This window comes from Homo sapiens, chromosome 11 (genome assembly GCF_000001405.40).
Source record: "Homo sapiens chromosome 11, GRCh38.p14 Primary Assembly".
NCBI classification, from domain to species: domain Eukaryota; kingdom Metazoa; phylum Chordata; class Mammalia; order Primates; family Hominidae; genus Homo; species Homo sapiens.
This window is the reverse complement of record NC_000011.10, coordinates 69783816-69805625: the sequence shown is the minus strand read 5'-3', so window position 1 is coordinate 69805625 and position 21810 is coordinate 69783816. Positions and strand designations below refer to the sequence as shown.

Genomic DNA, 21810 nt, shown 5'->3' with positions numbered 1-21810 from the left:
GTACTGAAAGTAGATAATGGTGATGGTTACAGGTTGTGGAAGTCCTCAACGCACTCAATTGCACACTTAAAATGGTGACACTCTTGCAGCACCTTGATTGCAGTGGTTCTGTCCTTCATCTTCGTGCCCTCCCCATGGAAAGTGCTCGTTGAGAGCACTGGCAGCATCCAATCACCATTGCTGGATGAAGGAAAAAAAGGAAGAAAAGGTCCTCTTGGAGTGGCCAGTAGGTCCCCTGCCTGCCCAGTCGGCCTGCACAGTGCTCTCCAGGGTGGACATGGGCAGAGGGAGCGCTTGACCGGGGTCTGGTCCACTCCCCGCTTGCCCCACAGGGGAAGACAGCCTTGCCTGGGTGAAGCCAAGAGACTAAGGACCCACACTACCCGGCCCCCTGCATCCCAGCCCTGGAGCCCGCTTGACCTTCTCTGCGTCGGATGGAGTCAGTACTTCAATGGGGAGGGTAGGACGGCTGTGGGTGCCCGAGCTTCAGCTGCTCGGAGCGGGTCTTTGAACTCCTCAGTGGGTTCAGAGGCCTCCTGCCTCCCAGGGGTGGAAGGACTCAGAAAGGTGAACCAGCAGGCCTATAATTAGCGCCCACCCATCGGAGGGCCACCGTGCCTCAGCATTCCAGGGCTGTGACAGATATAGCCCCTGGAGCTGACCTCTGTCCCCACTTGGCTGCAACGGCTGGAATACCAGGGGCAGCCTACACTTGTGCCTGAGTGCCTGGCCGGCTGTGTGTCCACACAAGGAAGGGGACCATGGGAGAAGAGGCTTCTGGGTGGGTAAAAAGCCAGCACATGTGCTGTTTTCAGACCTGCTGATTCAGATGTGGCCTTAGTCACTTCTGTTATTTGATCATGACAGCATTTTCAGCCACGTGGCCCAGAACTGGCCGCTGCCCCTCCCCAGCCTCAGTGTCCCCATCTGTCAAGTGGGGCTCCCACAGTGGTCATTGAGAGCTGCTGAGGCCACATAGATGGTAAAAGGTCTGTAAATAATAGCTGCATACACAGCCATGAGAGGATGCAAGAGAAAGCCTGGCCCTGCTCTCTAGCCAGCAGCAGGGGAGGCACAGTGCAGAGAAACAGAACACACTTCCACTAGGTGCCCTTTCTGCAGCACTCTTGCTGGAGGGGCTGCTGACCTGGGCCCAGAAGGTGGGGAATGATTGGAAAAGTTTAGAGGACACAGGGAGTGTTGGTGGTGGGCTGGGAGATCCTGGGAGCTCTCATGCCTTGAGCAGGCTGGTTTGAAGACAGAAATTTTAAAAATTCATTTATTATCACTGATAAACAAATACATTTATCTGTGTTTTGTACAGTTCAAGAGAAAGGCACTGTAATTCATCATCCCTCCATCCACTTATCTTTTATCCATCCATCATCCATCTATCCATCCATCCATCCATCCATCCATCCATCTTCCATCTTTTCAACCATCCATCTTCAATCCATCCTTCTATCCTTCCTTCCATCCATCATTCATTCATCCATCCATCCATCTGTCCACCATTTATCTACTCATCTACTATGCCTTCATCCATCCATCCATCTTCCATCTTTTCATCCATTCCATCCATCCATCCATCCTTTTATCCTTCCATCCATCCTTCATTCATCCATCCATCTGTCCACCCATTCATCTACTCACCTACTGTCCATCCATCCATCCATCCTTCTATCTTTCCATCCATCCTTCATTCATCCATCCATCCATCATCCATCCATCCATCCATCTGTCCACCCATTCACCTACTCATCTACTATCCATTCATCTATCAATCCATCTTCCATCTTTTCATCCATCCATCCTTCTGTCCTTCCATCCATCATCCATCCATCCATCCATCCATCCATCTGTTCACCCATTCATCCTCTCATCTACTGTCCATCCATCCATCCATCCACATCCATCCATCCATCCATCCACATCCATCCATCCATCCACCCATCCATCCATTCTCCCATCCTTCCATCCATCCATTCTCCCATCCTTCCATCCATCTATGCATCTTTCCATCCATTCATCCCCCCATCCATCCACTCATCTACCATCCATCCAGCAAGCATATGGGCATCCATCAGTGGGTCTGGAGCCTGGGTAGAGAATGCAGCAGGCACCCATACAGCTAGCTAAATGCCAGATACTCTGCTGGGCAGGATGGACAGAGGTGGAGCTACCTCTCCTTGTGCATCAGAATCTTTCAGTTTCACAGGGGACAGGCTGGCCCTGGGATATGGAAAGGCTCAGATTGCAGGGCTGAAGGAAGGGCAGAGAAGACAGGACAGAGAAATAACTGGCTGCCTCATGAGGAGTGTTTAGGATCTCAGGCCCTGGAGTCAGGTCAACCTGGGCCCCAGGCTAAAAGCTCCCTTCACAGGCTGTGAGGCCAGATAAAGCGCTCTGATATCTCTGTCAATCCCAAACTCTCCCCTGCCCCAGGACCTTTGCACATGCTGTCTGTTGAGACTAATCTTCCCTCCACTCTTCACTAGTTGAGTCCCTTCATAATCTTTACTTCTAAAGGTGTCACCTCTTCAGAGAGACCTACCACGACCACCCTACTCCAACTGGGGCCCCTTCTCATTTTGTTCTTACAGTGCCTTGTTATTTTCCTTCAAAGAACCCAACATAATCTGTAATTATCTAGTTAATTGTCCACTCACTGCTGTCCCCATCAGTCTCCCACATGCAGGTGAGGCACCTGGGCTATTTATTTCCACCAACTCAAGTCTGCCTTTGGTTGAGGACTACTCCCAGGGACAGACACTCCCTGAACTTCTGGCCTGCTCCCCTCAGACAAGAAATCCAAGGGCTTGTGATGGGAAGCCCTGGGGCCTCTTTGTGCAGAAGGGTGAGGCCTGAAGGGTTATGGGTGGAACAACGCCAGTGTCTGCTACATTCTGTCATGATTCACCTTTTGCAGATGAGAAAACTGAGGCTTAGAGATATGAAGCAATTGTCTCAAGGTCACACAGCCAGTGAAGGACATGTCAGGGCTGATTCCAAGATCTCTCAGGCTCCAAAGTTTATATTACATGGAGCCCAAGGAGGGGAGCAAGAACAGGAAGTCGCCAAGAAGTGAGAAGTGGGAAAATAGTGTGGCAGTTCTGAAACTGCAGAACAGAGAGTTACACATGACCCAGCAATTCCACTCCTAGGTATATGCCCCAGAGAAGTGCAAACTCACGTCCACACAAAAACCCGTATACTAATGTTTCTAGCAGCATTATTCATCATAGCCAATGCGTGGCAACAACCCAAATGCCCACCAAGTGATTAATGGATAAATACAACGTATCCACTGTCTACTGTAGATAGCATATACGATGCTATATGTATACAGTGCTATGGCCTAGGATGAAACGGTGTTCACAGACAAAAGGAATGAAGTGCTGAAACGTCTTACACCCCCTCAAGGCATGAACTTGGAGGGCCAGGTGCTAAGTGAAGGAAGCCAGACCAAAGGGACACACTTACGATTCCATTCCTATGAAATGTCCAGAATAGGCAAACCCATAGAGATGGGAAGTAGATTAGTGGCTTCCAGGGGCTGATGGGGAAAGTGGAGAGACTGCTCATTGGTATGGGGTTTCTTTTGGGATGATGAAAATGTTCTGGAATAGATGGTGGTGATGGTCACCATCACACTGTGAATACAAATAATGAATTGTACTCCTTAAACAGGTGGATTGTATGGTATGTGAATGATATCACATATGAATGATACCTCAATGAATCTGCTGGCACAGCCACGTGGTCTGCAGGTCTTTCTAGGAGAATGGGGTTGGGCAGGCCCTCCCCACCCTTGGGGACAATTTGGGGTATAGGAGGTGGGGGCTGGGTGGTCCCAGGTGGTCTGGGAGGGCACCCCTGCATGCAGTACTGAGGCCTACCAGCAGATGGCAGCGACCTCAGGGACAAGCTTCAGGTGTAGCAGAGTTGGCTGAGGACACCTCGCCGGGTCTTTCCATTCATCCATCTTTCCACCTGGTGGGCAATGGCGCCTCTCTGCCGGTGACATGCTTGTGGCGACTGCTGATTCACCCTGGTCAGGCGGTCAGGGAGGAGTCAGGACAGACCGTGCCTGGGCATCCCGGCATGCCCCAATGGCACACGGAAGGCAGAGGGCCCCCTCCCCAGGCACAAGGGCCAGGCTTGGCACGGAAGAGGAGGCAGTGGGCCTGGGGCCTGGGTAGGGTATGCAGCAGGCGCTCATCCTTGCCACTGGAGGAAGGATGGACAGCAGAGCTATACAAAATGATGATGATGATGATGATGACAATGTTGGGGGGAGAGGGAGAAGGGGAGCATTTAGTGGGTGCCTTTCCCACCTGGCGCCATGTTGCTTTGACTCCACCTCAGCTCTCTGAGTTGAGTTCTAATTCTCCCCATATGATAGGTGAGTCAGAGAAGAAAGGCTTTCCCGAGGCCACACAGCTTCCAAGAACTGGAGCCAAATTCAAACCCAGCTGCCCGGCTGGTCTTGGGCCCAGGTGGTCTTAACGGGATCTTGATTCCTTGATTCCATGTTTTTCGTCTTAGGGTGTGTGTGTGTGTGTGTGTGTGTGTGTGTGTGTGTGTGTGTGTGAGACATAGAGCGAGACTGTCACTCAGGCTGGAGTGCAGTGGCACCATCTCACTTCACTGCAGCCTCCGCCTCCTGGGTTCAAGCGATTCTCATGCCTCAGCCTCCCGAGTAGCTGGGATTACAGGCCCATGGTAGAGACGGGGTTTCGCCATGTTGTCCAGGCTGGTCTCGAACTCCTGACTTCAAGTCATCCACCCGCCTCGGCATCCCAAAGTGCTGGGATTACAGGCGTGAACCACTGCGCTCGGCTTGTCTTAGGGTTCTTGATTTAAACCAGTGGTTCTTGAAATTTGCATTTCAGGCCCCACCCCAGATCTGCTGAACCAGAACCCTGATGATGATGCCCAGTAATCAGTGTGTTTCAAGCCCTCCAGGTAGTTTGGATGCCCTAGAATTTAGGAACCCCCGATTTAAAGGGGCATCCCCATGGGTTGCTAATGCCGACTGAGTTAGCGTACAAAGTGCTCTGCAATGGCTGGGTGCTTTTCACCCATCATCCACTGAATTCACCCAGTGACCCTGCAAGGATGGCCATTATGATTCCCATTTTACAGGTCGGGAGACTGAGGCCCAGGGGTAAAGCCTGAAGTCCCTAGCTGGGAGAGATGAGCTTAGACAGGAGGCTGGGTCTGAGAGGCCACTGTGCACCAGGCATAGTGACTGTCACCCCCAACATACACACATTCTCTACAGAGTGGGGGTTCCGGGGAAGGCATTGCCACTGAAATATGGGCATCACTGTCTGGGGACACCTCAGGCCTTGTGTATGAGAAAGACAGGCCAGAGTGGGAGTGGAGGGTCACGGTCCGCTTGAGGCTCGCCAAGGCCTCATCTGGGGCATCCCGGACCCCACAGCAGCAGGGTGGGTCCTCTCAATGCTCACCCGACCTGCAGCCCACCTCAAGGTGCACAGGAAAGGCTTGCTTTCAGAACCCAGTGGGTTTGAGTCCACAGTTTGTCTTGGTCCCAGTTGAACCTCCCAGAGTATCTGTTTTCCCTCTATGAGTTATAGTGGAATTCAGCCTAGCTATGCAGGCCAGCAAACTTAAGATACATGCACCCTGAACAAGATAAAAACTGGTGTTTCTCATGTAAAGGAAGTCCAGGGTGATGAGGTTGCTCAGATTCATCAAGGACCCAGGTCCCTCCATCTTTTTCCTTCATATGTGTCATGTAGCTTTGACTTCATGGTACAAAATGGCTGCTTAGGCTCCAGCTATCCCACCCACATTCCACTCAGCAGTAGCAAAAACGATGGGTTGGTTTCCTTCCTCCAACGTCATCTCCTAGAAGCCACACCCACTACTGTTGCATACCTTCCATTGGCCAGCCTTCAGTCACATGGCCACTCCAAGCTGCAGGGAAGTCTGGGAAATGTAGTTTTTACTCCAGACAGCCAGTGCCAGACAAAACGCAGGGCTTCTATTCCTGAGGAGAAAAGAGAAAAGGGATACTGTCAGTGCCACAGCTCTCCTTAGAGGGGGCATCACAATTCCTCATCCACCCACCTGTGTGCCTCCCGGGGCTGTCAAGTGGTTTTTTTGTTTGTTTCATTTTTGTTTGTTTTTTTGCTGGCAGCTTCTTCAAATATCAAGAATACAGGAGAATGCTTGGTGAATTGGATGTCCTCCGACCCCACTGTGGGAGTGATGTTATTTACTGCCAGTTCAGCCAGAGACCACCTGCTGGAGGTCAGACTGCTGCTGGTCCCACTCCAGGCCCAGCCATGAGAGCTTCCCCAGCCCAAGCCTTTTGGCCTCCGCCAGAGGCTTTTCCAGCATGACACTGAGTGGCTGTCATCAGAGGCTCCTCCCTGGGTGGCGGCAGGTTTTTTGGGCTGGTGCCCTCACCTGTCACTCCCAACCTCCCCCCAGGGTGGGGCCATGTAAGGGGCATTGGCCAGGCCAGCATCTCCCTCAGAAGCACAGCCCTGACCTGGCGCAGTGGCTCACACCTATAATCCCAGCACTTTGGGAGGCCAAGGCAGGTGGATCACCCGAGGTCAGGAGTTTGAGACCAGCCTGGTCAACATGGTAAAACCCTGTCTCTACTAAAAATACAAAAAATTGGCCAGGAGCAGCGGCAAGCACCTGTAATCCTAGCTACTTGGGAGGCTGAGGCAGGAGAATCGCTTGAACCTGGGAAGCGGAGGTTGCAGTGAGCTGAGATCACACCATTACACTCCAGCCTGGACAACAAGAGCGAAACTCCGTCTCAAATAATAATAAAAAAAAAGAACCACAGTCCTGAGGGTGAGGGAAGCCTGTAGGGCTAGCAGTCTCTGAGAGTAGCTGTGCACCAGGCTCTGTGCTCGGGCCACACATGCTTGGCCAAGCTAACCCAGCCCTGGATACTGGAAGTGGTGGTCGACGCCCGAATGCTAGTGCTCAGTCCCCCTGCCTGGGCCCTCAGCTCCTCCCATAGTGTTGGCAGGCACAGTGGGTGCAATGTGTTGCTGATCTGCCGCCTTCCTGGAGGTCTGATCTCTAGTAGCCTTTCCTGGGGCACTCGGTTAAGGAGGCTCATCCAGGGGCCCTCACCGGGCACATGGCAGGACTTTCATCTGAGCCAGGCCCTGTGTAGACTTCGGCTCCAGCCATGCAGCTTCTCCCTGGCAGAGGGGACCGGGCAGTTCTCCTTCCCCAGAGCATGACTTCAAACCCAGCCCGGCACAGGTGTGAGACTCTAAACCCTGCTGGCCAGGTGCCAGCTATGCTCCACCCACCTGGAGACCCCACAGGGATGGTGATCGGGTTTTGGGGCCCAGAGCTGAGGCCCTGGATTCCTATGCCTGAACAAAGACAGGGATCAGCCTTTCAGAAATCAGCTTCCCTCCATGATCTTAGGGATGCAGTTCCCCCAGGGGCAGCCTTGTCATGACCCAGGAGGGGTTGGGTAGAGGGGGGAGAGCACTGGATGAGGAGCACGGTCCTAGTCCCGCAGGCCAGAGCTAAAAGCCACAGTGTGATGTGACGCTTGCCTCACTGGGTCCTGGAAGTGTGCTCTCTCACTCAGGCCTCAGGATTATCCCAGGAGATGTGTGCAGTCACTATCATCCCCATTTTACCAATGAGGGAACAGCTCAGAGAGGTGAAGCCATCTGCCCCAGGTCACACAGCACTTAGTCTCCATGGTTAAAGCAGCTGTCGAACAGTCAGACAGACCCAGTTTCCAACCTGGCTCTTACCTTTTCATGAGCGGGACAGTGCTTTGCCCTTGTGAGCCTCGTTCCTCCCATAAAATGGGCGGTGCCCCTCCCAGCCCCACACCCCTCATACGGAGCATTGCAGAGCTGGCAGTGTGAGAGACTCAGGTGAGAAGGTCTTAGGGTCTCTGTGCAGGCAGGACATTGGCAGCAACCCCTGGTCTGGTGTCTACTCTAGACCGACCAGGTGGGCCTCTCGGAGAGCCGGCCACCCTGATAGCTGGGTCCTGCAGGAGAGGCTGCTGAGTAGGGATGAAGCTAGGACTTGAGTCCTGGTCCAAGGGGAGTGTGACCCCCTGGTCCTTGGGGAGTGACATGGCCCAGCTCCAGGCCACCCTTCCATGCCCCACCCCATCCGCAGCTCCCCTGTCCATGAGGATGGAGCCGGGCAGTGGCCACGCAGCGCGGCTGCCTCCAGCAGCAGATGGTGCTATCCCACTGATCTTGAGGAAGACCTGCATGGTGCCATCCACTCTTCCGGCCCAGCGTCCTTCTCTGCTCACTGACCTCATCTCTGTGCCAGCCTGGCACCGGCCCCTGCAGGGAGAGGACGTGGGATGGGCCGGCCCTTGGGTCTGTGCGGCTGACACCAGTGAGGCACTCACACAATGTAAGCAACAAAGAGCCAGCCTGGCGCCGTGGCTCACGCCTGTAATCCCAGCACTTTGGGAGGCCGAGGCGGGCGGATCACGACGTCAGGAGATCGAGACCATCCTGGCTAACACGGTGAAACCCCGTCTCTACTACAAATATAAAAAATTAGCCGGGCGCGGTGGCGGGCGCCAGTAGTCCTAGCTACTCGGGAGGCTGAGGCAGGAGAATGGCGTGAACCTGGGAGGCGGAGCTTGCAGTGAGCCGAGATCGCGCCACTGCACTCCGGCCTGGGGGACAGAGCAAGACTCCACCTCAAAAAAAACCAAAAAAACAAAAAAAAAAAAAACAGAGCCACTCCAGGTGGTGGCGAGTGTGTCACATGTCTACATGTCTAAAACCTGAGCAGACAAGAGGGACACAGCAGGGGAGACAGGTGGCAATTTGACCAGGAAAACCTGCCTAGAGAGGTGACATCAAGCGAAGACCCCAGTGGCAAGAAGGAGCCTCCCTGCAGGGAGGGTGTCCGTCATTTGCAAAGGCCCTGGGGCGCAGGAGTTCTAGCCCAGGCCCTGGGCAGCCAGGCCAGCAGGGAGGCTGCCTCGGACCTGCAGAGGGGCTGGGATGACGGAGGCAGGCAGGGCAGCCTTTGCAGGGCTGAGCCAGGCACTCTGCATTTTGTTCTGAGTGTAGTCAGGGGCTAACTCTGGGGCTGTGGCTCTATGGGCAGGTACAGAAGCCACGCTACTTTTCGTTGGGATCTTGCTTGTGGCCCACCCTGAAAAAGAGGCCCTCGCTGCTCTCAATGGGTTTGTCTGAGATGCTCCTGCAGCTACTACCTCCCTGCCTCAAGGTTCCTCCACTCCCTGCTCCCCTCAGGCCCTCCCTGACTCCCACAGAACCAAGGAATAGAAATATCCCCAGGGCTTGGCCCACGAGACCGCCAGCACCCGTCTCCTGGAAAGGTCATCAGCAAGTACCGTGGAGTGACAGGTGACAGGCCCAAAGTGAAAGGACCACAGACCGGCATGAACTGTGTGAGCTGCTCAGGACAGGAAAGGGCTCATGTTGACAACCTCTACAGCCGCTCACATTTCTAGGAAAGCTACCAAGACCCCCAGGAGATAAAGGGACACGGAGGAGAAAACCCGAACATCAAAGCAACTCATGGAGCCGCATTCAGCCCCACAGTTACCTTCAGCGCAGGAACGGAAACCAAGTACTGTCTCAAAACTGCCATCCAGGCTGGGCGCAGTAGCTTACGCCTGTAATCCCAGCACTTTAGGAGGCTGAGGTGGGCGGATCCCTTGAGGTCAGGAGTTCGAGATCAGCCTGGCCATCACAGCAAAATTTCATCTCTACTAAAAATACAACAATTAGCTGGGCATGGTGGCACATGCCTGTAATCCCAGCTACTCGGGAGGCTGAGGCGAGAAGATGACTTAAACCCAGGAGGTGGAGGTTGCAGTGAGCCGAGATCACGCCACTGCATTCCAGCCTGGGTGACAGAATGAGACACTGTCTCAAAAAAACAAAAAACAAACAAACAAAACAAACCTGCCATCCAGCCTGGACAACATGGAGAGGACCCATCTCTACAGAAAATTTAAAAATTAAAAATTGGCAGGGCGTGGTGGTGCATGTCTGTAATCCCACCTACTCTGGAGGCTGAGGTGAAAGGATTGCTTCAGCCCGGGAGTTCAAGGCTGCAGTGAGCTGAGATCGCACCACTGCACTCCAGCCTGGGTGACAGAGTGAAACCCCCATCTCCAAAAGAAAGAAGAAAGAAAGAAAGAAGGAAGGAAGGAAGGAAAAAAGGAAGGAAGGAAGGAAAAAAAGAAAGAGAAAAAGAAAGAAAGAAAGAAAGAAAGAAAGAAAGAAAGAAAGAAAGAAAGAAAGAAAGAAAGAAAGAAAGAAAGAAAGAAAGCTGTCATCCAAGCCAGGCAAGTCCGATAAACTGTCACAGCCAAGAAGAGCCCATGAAGATGAGAGAGCTACACGCGATTGGTGTCCTGGCTGGATCCTGGAATAGAAAGAGGACATTAAGGAAAAACTGAGGCGCTCTGTGTAAAGCATGGACTTTAGTTAATAATGATGGATCAATATTGGTTCATTAATTATAATAAGTGCACCACACTAACACAAGGTGTTAATAATGGGACACTCAGCATGGGATATACAGGAACTCTGCACTGTCTTTGTAACTTTTCTAGAAATCTAAAATTATTCTAAAATAGATGTTTTTGTTTTGTTTTGTTTTGTTTTTGAGACGGAGTCTCGCTCTGTTGCCCAGGCTGGAGTGCAATGGTGTGATCTCAGCTCACTGCAACCTCTGACTCCCCGGTTCAAGCGATTCTTCTGCATCAGCCTCCTGAGTAGCTGGGATTACAGGCACGCACCACCACACCCAGCTACTTTTTGTATTTTTAGTAGAGATGGGGTTTCACCATGTTGGCTAGGATGGTCTCGATCTCCTGACCTCCTGATCCGCTCACCTCGGCCTCCCAGAGTGCTGGGATTACAGGTGTGAGCCACCACACCTGGCCTAAAATAAATGTTTATTAAAACTTATTAAAAACTAAAAGTTAAGTATCATTGCCTGCTTGCCAATTAATAAAGACAAAACAAAGTAGGAAAAACACACACACACACATAAAATGTATCCAATGCTGGTGAGGATTGGTTAAACAGGCAGCCTCCTGTGTGCTCCAAACAGCATCAGCTGACACTTTTAAATTGATACATAATATTTTACTATTTATGGGGTACATGTGATATTTTGTTATATGCATAGGATGTGTTTGTGGGTTTTTTTGTGGCACACACCTGTGTGTGAGAATGTGGGTGTGTGTTTTGAGACAGGGTCTTGCTCTGTCACACAGGCTGGAGTGCATTGGTGTAATCATAGCTCACTGAGGCCTCAAACTCCTGGGCTCAAGTGATCCTTCTCTCTCAGCCTCCTGAGTAGCTGGGACCACAGGAGTGTGCTACCATGCCCAGCTAATTTTTTTTTTCTATAGAGACAAGGTCTCACTATGTTGTCCAGGCTGGTGTTGAAATCTTGAGCTCGTGATCCTCCTGCCTCCACCTCCCATCTGCTGGGATTACAGGCATGAGCCACTGTGCCTGGCCCTGTGCATAGAACACGTGATGCTCAGGTCAGGGTGTTTGGGGTGCTGACCACCTTGAGTACTGGTCATTTCTATGTGTTAGAAACATTTCGGCCAGGCGCGGTGGCTCACGCCTGTAATTCCAGCACTTTGGGAGGCCGAGGCAAGCGGATCACCTGAGGTCAGGAGTTCGAGACCAGCCTGGCCAATGTAGCGAAACCCCGTCTCTACTAAAAATACAAAAATTAGCTGGGCGTGGTGGCAGGCGCCTGTAATCCCAGCTACTTGGGAAGCTGAGGCAGGAGAATCGCTTGAACCTGGGAGGCGGAGGTTGCAGTGAGCTGAGATCTCACCATTGCACTCCAGCCTGGGTGGCAAAAGTGAAACTCTCTCTCAAAAAAAAAAAAAAAAAAGAAACATTTCAAGTCCCCTCTTCTAGCTACTTTGAAATATAAAACACATTATTGTTTACTTTTGAGGACTTTAAATTTATAGCCCCCAAATCCAGAGATTCTGCTTCAGAAAATCACATCCAAAATACAGAAAAACAAACTTACACACAAAGATGTTCATCACAGCATTGTTTATAATAGAAATAAACTCGGAAATCATCTAATATTAGAAACAGAGCAGTGTGGTTAAATAAGCCATGGCCTATTATATCCGCTCTCTTGACAGAAGTCACAATGTTTACAAAGATCATCTAATATTGTGGGAAAATGGTAGAATATATTTATTAAGTGGGAAAAAGTTGTATTTGCAGGATGATTCATTCATCCAGCTGTCAATTCAGCAAATAAACATTTATGGAGGGCTTGGCTATGCCAGACAGGCCCTACACTGAAGAGTTGGGATGTCATGGGAGAAGCAGACCATGGACCAGCAGTTATCACCTGCTGGAGTAGAGCGCTGATGGGGGTGGTGCTGATGGGGGTGGCCCTGCTGGGCCCTGGAGGACGAGAGCCAGGCAGCTTTTCAAAGATGAGATGCCTTTGAAATGGTGGCATCAGAGAAGGTGGGGACAGCCTTTGCAGGGGGTGCAGAGAAGAAATGGAATCTGAGGAGTGCAGTGTGGCCAGATGGTCGTGGTGGGTGGGGAACTATGCAGAGGCAGCCAGAGTCCAGCCAAACCCATCAGACCTTCTTATCCAGCACTGGGGAGCCACGGAGGGTGAAGGAGGCAGCAACAGGATCGGATTGCCTCAGGACCATCTCTCAGGAGCCACCTCGAGTTGCTTGTCCTCCCACATTGTGGCAAGACCACTCACCGTGACCCACATCCTTTGTAAGAGGAAGATCCCCTGCCCCCGCCCCAGGACCTATCAGGGCCTTCATCTCGACGGCCTTTCTGCCACCACATTCCTGGCCTGGGTGATCAAGATGGACAGAGTCTGGGCCCCTTCGGAGTGCCACGGTCACTGCTTCTGGCGTGTCCACATCCCCAGAGCCCAACAGCCCCTCCCCTGGGACTACAATGGCTCGTGAGAAACCAAACATCCTCTGGCTCTGGCCCCCGCACCCCTGACAACAGGCTGACCTGATGGCTGTCCTAGGTCCCTCCCGCCTCCACCCAGGCCCTGGGTCCTGGGAAGCAGAGTTGCACAATTAGGGGCCGGGGGCAAGACAGAGGATATCAAAGAGCGTGCTTACCCCCAATCCAAAGCACATGCGTCTGTGCTGAAGAGGGACCACCATGGGTCCTGGGGGGCCCCCTCTGCTGTGACCCAGGGCAGGACCTGCTGCCTGCAAATGCCCACCGGCTCCAAAAGGTGCCAGGTAGATAGAGATCAGACCATGCCACCAGCCCATGCACAGGACCCTGCCTCCCTTGTCCACATTCTTGTTGAGGCCTCACTGCAAGGGTAGGAGGAAGTGAGGCTCAGAGAAGGTGGGTAACTTGCCTATGGTCACACAGCAAGCGATGAGCAAAGTGGAGCCCCTCAGAGGTCTCCCACCAAGGAGGCCATGTGTTTGCTTCTAAAAATGCAGCAAGCCAGCTCACAATGTGTGTACAGCACCCGGCGTGGCCTCAGCCAGTCAACCGAGGTTCCACTGACTTCCGCCACACAGACTCACCAGGCTAGTGACCCTCACTCCTGCTGACGTGCTGGCCCACGTCCTTGGCCACTAAAGGCCAGGGCCCAGATGCTCACACTCATTCCTGGGCCAGCAGCAGTCGGTCTGATTTGTTCCCAATTCGGCCCGGGCCCACTCTACTTGTAACAGCAACGAGGAAATTCAATGAATCCTAAAACTCACTGATGAAATACGAACCTCCAAGAGAGAGATGATGTTCTCATGGAAACGTTGTCTGCTTTGGAAAGATTCTGTGAAAATGAGTTACCAAAAAGTCATGCCGGCCAACTGGGATGGGTGGGACTACAGGAAAAGATGAGAGGAGAAATTCACAAGCGCGTCCAGATCCTGCTCCCAGGTTGTTTGTGAGCCTCTTAAAATGGCTTTTGCCCTGAACTACCAGGTTCACTTCCCTGTGGCTCACTGTACCCGGGTCTCCGCTGTCTTTCTGGTTGATGTGCAACGTGATTCTCTATTTCTTGGCACCAGTGACTAGTTTCAAGGAGAATTTTTGCTAGCGACTCATGCCTCTGCCTCGCCTGGGAGGTGTTTGCAGCAACCAGAAATCTCTGCTTTTGACACAAAGCTGACTGGGCCCCAACCCAAGGCCAGCCGAGCCAGGCTTTTTAAAGCCCTGCTAGCTCGCAGCCTCTTGGATTCAGCTCCCAAGGCTGCTGCCTGGGCTTCCCTAAGCAAGGCTGCTCGTGTCTCCTCTAGGCCTTTGCCCATGCTGTGCTTCCTGCCTGGAAGCACTGTCACCGCTCAAGCCCGGCTGTAGGTCCACCAGATGCCACTTCTTGGAGGACACCTCCCTGGCCCTTAGACTAGGTCAGTGGCTACTGGTCTCCTTCAGACCCTACCTGTAGAGCCCTCTCTTCCTCTTTCTTAATCCTCACCCTACAGGTAATTCCTAGCTCTGTGTCTGCTTCTCCCCTGGGATGTCAGCTTCCCCACGGTGGACATGGTGGCATTTCTGCTTTGTCCACACTGCCTGGAGCCAAACTTGCATCCACAGAAGTACAGCCAACATTTGTTGAATGACTCGCCAGGATTCAAAGTGGGCAAGGTACTCCCTAGACTCTAGACCTGATGCCATCACAAGGCCAGTAAGAGAGGGAGGCGACGCAGTCTCGAGCTCACAGACCCAGAGTGGCTTTGCAGGTTGGCGTGTTCCCACTCCAGGCTGGCTCCTAGGCCTCACACACCCACTAGGCTTCCGCTCCCATCGCTCTGGAGGGTTCATGGCTGCCACTTATTGTCGTCCTGATGCTGGGACCCACCCGAGGCATTGAGGAGCACTTGTCCAGAGACTGGCTTCCCAAGGTGGGAATGTGGAGGGGGGCAGCCCAGAGCGAGGCGTAAGACAGTAAAACCACCTAAGCACTTCATCTTCCAGGCAGTAAGGACACACACCTGAGTCACTTGGCAATATGCTATCTTTGGACCATGGTGCCATCTCTTTAGTAGAATTTGAAGTGGCATCACTTTATCCATGGGAGTCCTTTCTGCTCGCTTTTTTTTTGTTTTTAGACGGATTCTTACTCTATTGCCCACGCTGGAATGCCGCAGTGTGATCTCGGCTCACAGCAACCTCCACCTCTAGGGTTCAAGTGATTCTCGTGCCCTCAGCCTCCCAAATAACTGGGACCACAGGCGCATGCCACCATGCTCAGCTAATTCTTGTATTTTTAGTAGAGACAGGGTTTCACTATGTTGGTCAGGCTGGTCTCGAACTCCTGACGTCAAGTAATCTGCCCACCTTGGCCTCCCAAAGCGTGGGGATGACAGGCGTGAGCCACCACACCCGGCTCTGCTTGCTTTTTTTCAAAAAAGTTTCCTCCAGCTGAGTGCGGCAGCTCACGCCTGTCATCCTAGCACTTTGGGAGGCTGAGACTGGCGGATCACCTGAGGTCAGGAGTTCGAGACCAGACTGGCTAACATGGTGAAACCCCTTTTCTACTAAAAATACAAAAAATTAGCCGGGTGTGATGGCAGATGCCTGTAATCCCAGCTACTAGGGAGGCTGAGGCAGGAGAATCGCTTGAATCCGGGAGGTGGAGGTTGCAGTGAGCCGAGATTGTGCCATTGCAGTCCAGCTTGGGCAACAAGATCAACACTCCATCTCAAAAAAAAAAAAAAAGTTTCCTCAGTTATTATGTGTATATTCTATTAAAGGACCCCCCCCGCCCACCCCAATTTAGGTGAGCAAAGCCAGCAGCCATCTGGTCCTGGAAATCAAGGGGAGGTGAACTCATTTATCCGGGAGCTGCAGCCTCCCAGAGAATTCGGCTGCAGTGAGGGGCTCCTGGGTTCCCACATTTCCAAGTAGACTTCATGGAGTGACCCACCGTGGGGCCGGGGGACTGGCCACTGCTCCTCATTGACTTAGGCACTCCCACCACCTCCTGCGACTAGCCCTGTGATTTCATGAAAAACGTAAGCACGTCTGTGAAACTGAGAAGCCACAGGCACCTCGGAGGGCCAGCCAGGTTTTATTTTGGTGTCCGCCCCGTGTTTGCCCGTCGGAATTTCAGCTGAGCCCTCCTCGAAGCTGCAGATGCCAGGGGCCGTATTTAACTTGAATGGGCTGCTAGGAAGAAGTGCGGGCCTGGCCTGACCTGGTTCTCAGGGAACGACCCCTGGGCCTGCAGCAGCTATTTTAAAGGAGGCTGCCATTTGGTCTTCGCCAAAATAGTTGAAAGAAGACCCCAGAATAGCAGGCTGGGTCTGCCCCGGCTTAGAAGCCGCATCTCAGGCTTAGAGGCAGGCGCGTGGGATGTCAGGGAGCAGGCGGCAGAGGCAGAAAAAAGCCTCTTGTCACTGAGGCCGGAGGCCCAGGAATGGCCCTTGGCTGCCTGCGAGGACCCTGCATCCCTGGCCTCAAAGAGGCGGGAAGCCCCGCAGGCTGATGGAGAGAGGCAGGACTGGCTTGGGAGAGCAGACCAGAATAGATGCCTGCTCTTTTAGGCGTGAGTTCACCTAACATCAGCCGCCACCTCACTGCCCTAAGATGTGAGTGAGTGCTAAGATTTCCCACAAATGAGAAGACTGAGGGTCAGAATCTGCCCAAGGTCTCACCCAGAGTGAGGGAGAGCCAGGCGGTCCTTACAGGCCTTGGAGGCTGCAATGAACCCGTGAACTCCCCCCATGCAACGGCAGCAATCATGATGACCATGGCAGGTGGGGAAATAATAATTTACTAACACGAGTGACTCCCCCTGCTGTTCCCTGAGCCCTGGAGCGGGGATAGGAGAGGGGGTGAGGGAGCCCTTACTCCACCAGGCAGGGCTCAGCTTGGCCTCCCCACAATAGATGAGTGCACAGTGCAGAGAGTACTTTTTATCCAGCGTGGTCCCTAAGGGCAAGCTGCCTGCTTCATCCCATCCAGAAAAATAGCCAACCCTGGAGGGCAAAATGCCTCTGGGACCTGCTGGGAATTGGCTTCTGGAAGGAATTTTCCAGGACACTGACTCAGTGAGGTCTTCCTTTGCCCACGCTGACTTTAAGACACCACTTGGTACCTGTCACGTATGCTTGGGGAAGTCACCTCCTCTCTGGGCCTCAGTTTCTTTACTGGTGAACTGAGATGGATCATCCCCGCCCACCTCTTGGGGTTCGTGAGTGAATGGGAAACGGGGCTCCCACTGGCAGGCTGATGGGGGGCATGTGTCCAAGGACTGGGCCGTCTTCCCTGCACCCTCGCCCTCTACCCAGCATTGCTGGATCCTGCTGCTATCCGCCCCATCCTGTGGGCCCCTCAGGGTCAAATGCAGTCCTTTACGCCACCAGCCTCGGAGACAGAACATCAGCCTTTTCATGCACAGCTGATCACTGGGTGAATCGAGGCCCTAGTGCTGCAGGTGTCCAGGCACAGGTGAGTTCCCCGAGCCCTCCTGGTGCGCTCCGAGAGCATGAGCTGGCCATGCAGGCTGCTCTCGGGCTCAGGGTGCGTGGTGGTGAGAGTGGAACAGGTCAGGTGGCCCCAGTCCTGCTTGCCTGGAACTGTGCAGGGGTGCACCCCTCGTCCCAGGGTAATAGTGAGGGGCACTTCCTTTCTTTCTGAAAAGGCCCAGTTTGGACTGTCCTGTGATCACCTTGTGATAGGCGACTGGACTTGAGAAGTCAGGCAAAGCTTCCCAGAAAGGTCAAGGTTGAGCTGAGGTCTGATGGGCACATAGGGGAAGGAATAGTTCTCCAAAGAGTCTCTGCTCCATCCCAAGGCCACACCCGCAGCTGGAGCCCCCACTTCCTCCTGCCTGGTGAATGGGAGGAACAGAGCACCCAGCCACGGTTCCCTTTCCCCACCTTCCCTTTCACAGGCTCTTTCTCCCACTTTACAAAAGAAAGGAGTGCTCCTTAGGTGCTAGAGCCTCAGGGCACCAAACAAAGCTGCAATGTGGACCAGGAGCCGACACTCCTTCCAGCTCTCTCAGGCCTGGAAGCAGCCCAGGGAGGGTGCAGGGTGGCGGCAGAAGTGGCCACCCATTTGGCCTGCCCTGGAGAGCTCCTAACAGATGCCTTGGGAGTGGAGGGCCAGGGACCTGCCTATTTCTTTCAGTGACCTGTGCCTCCCAAACCCATGCCCTTGACAAAGATGCATTAGAGCAGAGATGTCCAATCTTTTTTTTTAACTTTATTTATTTATTTACTTGTTTGTTTATTTTTGAGATGAAGTTTTGCTCTTTTTGCCCTGGCCGGAGTGCAATGGCGTGATCTCAGCTCACTGCAACCTCCGCCTCCCGGGTTCAAGCGATTCTCCTGCCTCAGCCTGCCGAGTACTTGGGATTACAGGCATGTGCCATCACCCCCGGCTAATTTTGTATTTTCAATAAAGACTGGGTTTCTCCATGTTGGTCAGGCTGTCCTTGAACTCCAGACCTCAGGTGTTCCGCCTGCCTGGGCCTCCCAAAGTGCTGGGATTACAGGTGTGAGCCTATTTATTTATTTTTCGAGACAGAGTTTCGTTCTTGTCGCCCAGGCTGGAGTGCAATGGCACGATCTCAGCTCACTGAAACCTCTGCTTCCTGGGTTCAAGCGATTCTCCCTGCCTCAGCCTCCTGAGTAACTGGGATTACAGGCACTTGCCACCACACCCAGCTAAGTTTTGTATTTTTAGTAAAGACAGGGTTTCACCATGTTGCCCAGGCTAGTTTCGAACTCCTGACCTCAGGTGATCCGCCCACCTCCCAAAGTGCTGGGATTACAGACGTGAGCCACCAATCCCGGCTGGGTGTCCAATCTTTTGGATTCCCTGGGCCACACTGGAAGAAGAATTGGCTTGGGCCACACATCAAATGCACTAACAACAATGATAACTGATAAACTAAAAAAAAAAAAAAATTGCAAAAAGATAATCTCAAAATGTTTTAAGAAAGTTTATGAATTTGTGTTGGGCCACATTCAAAGCCGTCCTGGGCTACTTGTGGTCTCAAGGCCACAGTTTGGAGAGAGAGGCCCAGGAAAGGAGGCAAAAATCCTGGTGAGCCTAGAAGTCGCCAGGTGCCCAGCTCCAGGCAGGGATCTGGCCTTTTCTCTTCATGTCTGCATCTCCTCCTACTTCATAGAGTCAGAAATCAGAAGCAGGGGGTATACTCTGGAGACGCAGATTAACTCACTTGTTTGAATTGGAAAATACAATCCGAGGTCTTCCAATGGTAAGTGGCACATGGCTGTCACTGAGAAAACTGGCTTTACTGATTCTGTGGCTATACGGGGAAAGCTGTCTAAGTGTTGCCTAGGTTGTGTCTGCAGCTGCAAGGTTCGGAAAGAAATAGATATAAACCCGCAATGCATTGGAAGCTTTGTATCACTATAGTACTGGCGAAGCCATGTTGAAATTAGCAACAGTTTCATTCCCAGTCTTCCCCATTTTCATTATATCAGGTTTAATAAGTCTCCTCCAAGTAAAAAAGTAACTGGTATAATTAATTGTTCTTGGCAAAAAAGACCTTTGGGCTGGGCATGGTGGCTCACGCCTGTAATCCCAGCATTTTGGGAGTCCGAGGCTGGTGGATCACAAGGTCAGGATTTCGAGACTGGCCTGGCCAAGATGGTGAAACCCTATCTCTATAAAACTACAAAAATTAGCTGTGCAGGGTTGCAGGTGCCTGTAATCCCAGCTACTTGGGAGGCTGAGGCAGGAGAATCCCTTGAACCTGGGCGGCAGAGGTTGCAGTGAGCTGAGATTGCACCACTGCACTCCAGCCTGGGTGACAGAGTGAGACTCTGTCTCAAAGCAAACAAACAAGCAAACAAACAAATAAAACCTTTGGATAAAATTTCCCGAAGTTGAGAAAGTGCAGCTCCAATGACTGGTGAGTCTTTGCTATCAAGGAATTAAGAGAGGAGCTGCCGACCAGCCTGGGCAACACAGTGAGATCCCAACTCTACCAAAAACAAAAAAAATTTAGCTGGGCATAGTGGCACATGCCTATAGTCCCAGCTTCTTGGGAGGCTGAGGTGGGAGGATTGCTTGAGCCAGGGAAGTTGAGGCTGAAGTGAGGGGAGATTGTGCCACCGTACTCCAGCCTGGGTTCGGAGGGAGACCCTGTCTCAAAGAATTAAAAAAAAAAAAAAAGAGCTGTTGATGGTGTCAGCAGATCAAGCAGGAGACACCATTTTTTATATAAACCAGGTGATTGAGTGTATACCTTGGCGAGTGTTCAAATCCTTGAGTGACATCACCATAACGAAACTTCAATTCTGTGTCTTCCACCTGAGGACAAGGCTTCTTGGCTTTGCCATCAACAGAAATAGAAAATGGGAATGAAATTGAGGCCAAACGCCATATTATTCTAGCAATAAGTAGTGGTCATATGAAATTTTTTTTTAAAGCCCTGTCCTAGGTCACATTAAAAGATTCATTTCGGCCAGGTGCGGTGGCTCACGCCTGTAATCCCAGCACTTTGGGAGGCCGAGGCAGGCGGATCACGAGGTCAGGAGATCAAGACATCCTGGCTAACATGGTGAAACCCCGTCTCTACTAAAAATACGAAAAATTAGCCAGGTGTGGTGGCGGGTGCTTGTAGTCCCAGCTCCTCGGGAGGCTGAGGCAGGAGAATGGCGTGAACCTGGGAGGCAGAGCTTGCAGTGAGCCGAGATCGCACCACTGCACTCCATCCTGGGCGACAGTGAGACTCCATCTCAGGAAAAAAAAAAAAGATTCATTTCTACCAGAATTTTATTTGTGCTCTTTACTTATCAATTATGTGATATTACATTCATGGCATTTTGATTAACTATGTATTAGTAAAAGTTGTTTAAAGTAAAATCCAGAACAAAACCATTTAATGCTAACAGTCATAAGAAATTCATTTGTTTGTTTGTTTGTTTTGAGATTAAGTCTCGCTCTGTCACCCAAGCTGGAGTGCAGTGGTGCGATCTCGGCTCACTGCAACCTCCGCCTCCTGGGTTCAAGCGATTCTCCTGCCTCAGCCTCTGAGTAGCTGGGATTACAGGGGCACACCACCATGACTGGCTAATTTTTATATTTTTAGTAGAGACAGGGTTTCACCATGTTGGCCAGGCTGGTCTTGAACTCCTGACCTCAGGCAATCTGCCTGCCTTGGCCTCCCAAAGTGCTGGGATTACAGGCATGAGCCACTGCGCCCAGCCTAGGAAATTAGTTTTTTAAATATTTCATTTATTGCAGTGAATAATGATAGAGTGAACAGCCAGGTGCTGTGGCTCACGCCTGTAGTCCCAGCACTTTGGGAGGCCGAGGCGGGTGGATCACTTGAGGTCAGAAGTTCGAGATCAGCCTGGCCAACATGGTGAAACCCCATCTCTACTAAAAATACAAAAATTAGCCCCGCGTGTTGGTGCAAGTCTGTAATCCCAGTTACTCGGGAGGCTGAGGCAGGAGAATCACTTGAACCTGGAAGCCAGAGGTTGCAGTGAGCCGAGATCGTGCCACTGCACTCCAGCCTAGGCCACAGAGCAAAACTCCATCTCAAAAAGAAAAAAGAAAAAAAAAAGAATAATAATAAAATGATCAATGAAAGACTTTCGAGGTTAAAATACAAAGATAATGGGTGAGGGTTTATAATATTTGTCTGCTGGAGTAAAGCTTATTCATGTATTTTTTCTAAAATAAAAGATGGCAGCTGTCAAACTGGTATTGTTATAGACTCCACTGGACACATTTTTAAAAGTAACAGAAGAGGCTGGGCGTGGTGGCTTACGCCAGTAATCCCAACATTTTGGGAGGCCAAGGCGGGTGGATCACTTGAGGC

At 51.9% G+C, this 21810-nt stretch overlaps 7 annotated features.

The window, feature by feature from the left end:
* Positions 4126 to 4656: an enhancer, noted in NCBI's record as "H3K4me1 hESC enhancer chr11:69615738-69616268 (GRCh37/hg19 assembly coordinates)". NCBI's record gives its function as "activates a minimal SCP1, AML or CMV promoter by ChIP-STARR-seq in naive H9 embryonic stem cells {active_cell/tissue: H9 hESC(naive)}" and the evidence as "EXISTENCE:reporter gene assay evidence [ECO:0000049][PMID:30033119]".
* Positions 6656 to 7366: an enhancer, noted in NCBI's record as "H3K4me1 hESC enhancer chr11:69613028-69613738 (GRCh37/hg19 assembly coordinates)". NCBI's record gives its function as "activates a minimal SCP1, AML or CMV promoter by ChIP-STARR-seq in primed H9 embryonic stem cells {active_cell/tissue: H9 hESC(primed)}" and the evidence as "EXISTENCE:reporter gene assay evidence [ECO:0000049][PMID:30033119]".
* Positions 7367 to 8078: an enhancer, noted in NCBI's record as "H3K4me1 hESC enhancer chr11:69612316-69613027 (GRCh37/hg19 assembly coordinates)". NCBI's record gives its function as "activates a minimal SCP1, AML or CMV promoter by ChIP-STARR-seq in primed H9 embryonic stem cells {active_cell/tissue: H9 hESC(primed)}" and the evidence as "EXISTENCE:reporter gene assay evidence [ECO:0000049][PMID:30033119]".
* Positions 13853 to 14555: an enhancer, noted in NCBI's record as "H3K27ac-H3K4me1 hESC enhancer chr11:69605839-69606541 (GRCh37/hg19 assembly coordinates)". NCBI's record gives its function as "activates a minimal SCP1, AML or CMV promoter by ChIP-STARR-seq in naive H9 embryonic stem cells {active_cell/tissue: H9 hESC(naive)}" and the evidence as "EXISTENCE:reporter gene assay evidence [ECO:0000049][PMID:30033119]".
* Positions 14556 to 15260: an enhancer, noted in NCBI's record as "H3K27ac-H3K4me1 hESC enhancer chr11:69605134-69605838 (GRCh37/hg19 assembly coordinates)". NCBI's record gives its function as "activates a minimal SCP1, AML or CMV promoter by ChIP-STARR-seq in naive H9 embryonic stem cells {active_cell/tissue: H9 hESC(naive)}" and the evidence as "EXISTENCE:reporter gene assay evidence [ECO:0000049][PMID:30033119]".
* Positions 15692 to 16236: an enhancer, noted in NCBI's record as "H3K4me1 hESC enhancer chr11:69604158-69604702 (GRCh37/hg19 assembly coordinates)". NCBI's record gives its function as "activates a minimal SCP1, AML or CMV promoter by ChIP-STARR-seq in primed H9 embryonic stem cells {active_cell/tissue: H9 hESC(primed)}" and the evidence as "EXISTENCE:reporter gene assay evidence [ECO:0000049][PMID:30033119]".
* Positions 16237 to 16782: an enhancer, noted in NCBI's record as "H3K4me1 hESC enhancer chr11:69603612-69604157 (GRCh37/hg19 assembly coordinates)". NCBI's record gives its function as "activates a minimal SCP1, AML or CMV promoter by ChIP-STARR-seq in primed H9 embryonic stem cells {active_cell/tissue: H9 hESC(primed)}" and the evidence as "EXISTENCE:reporter gene assay evidence [ECO:0000049][PMID:30033119]".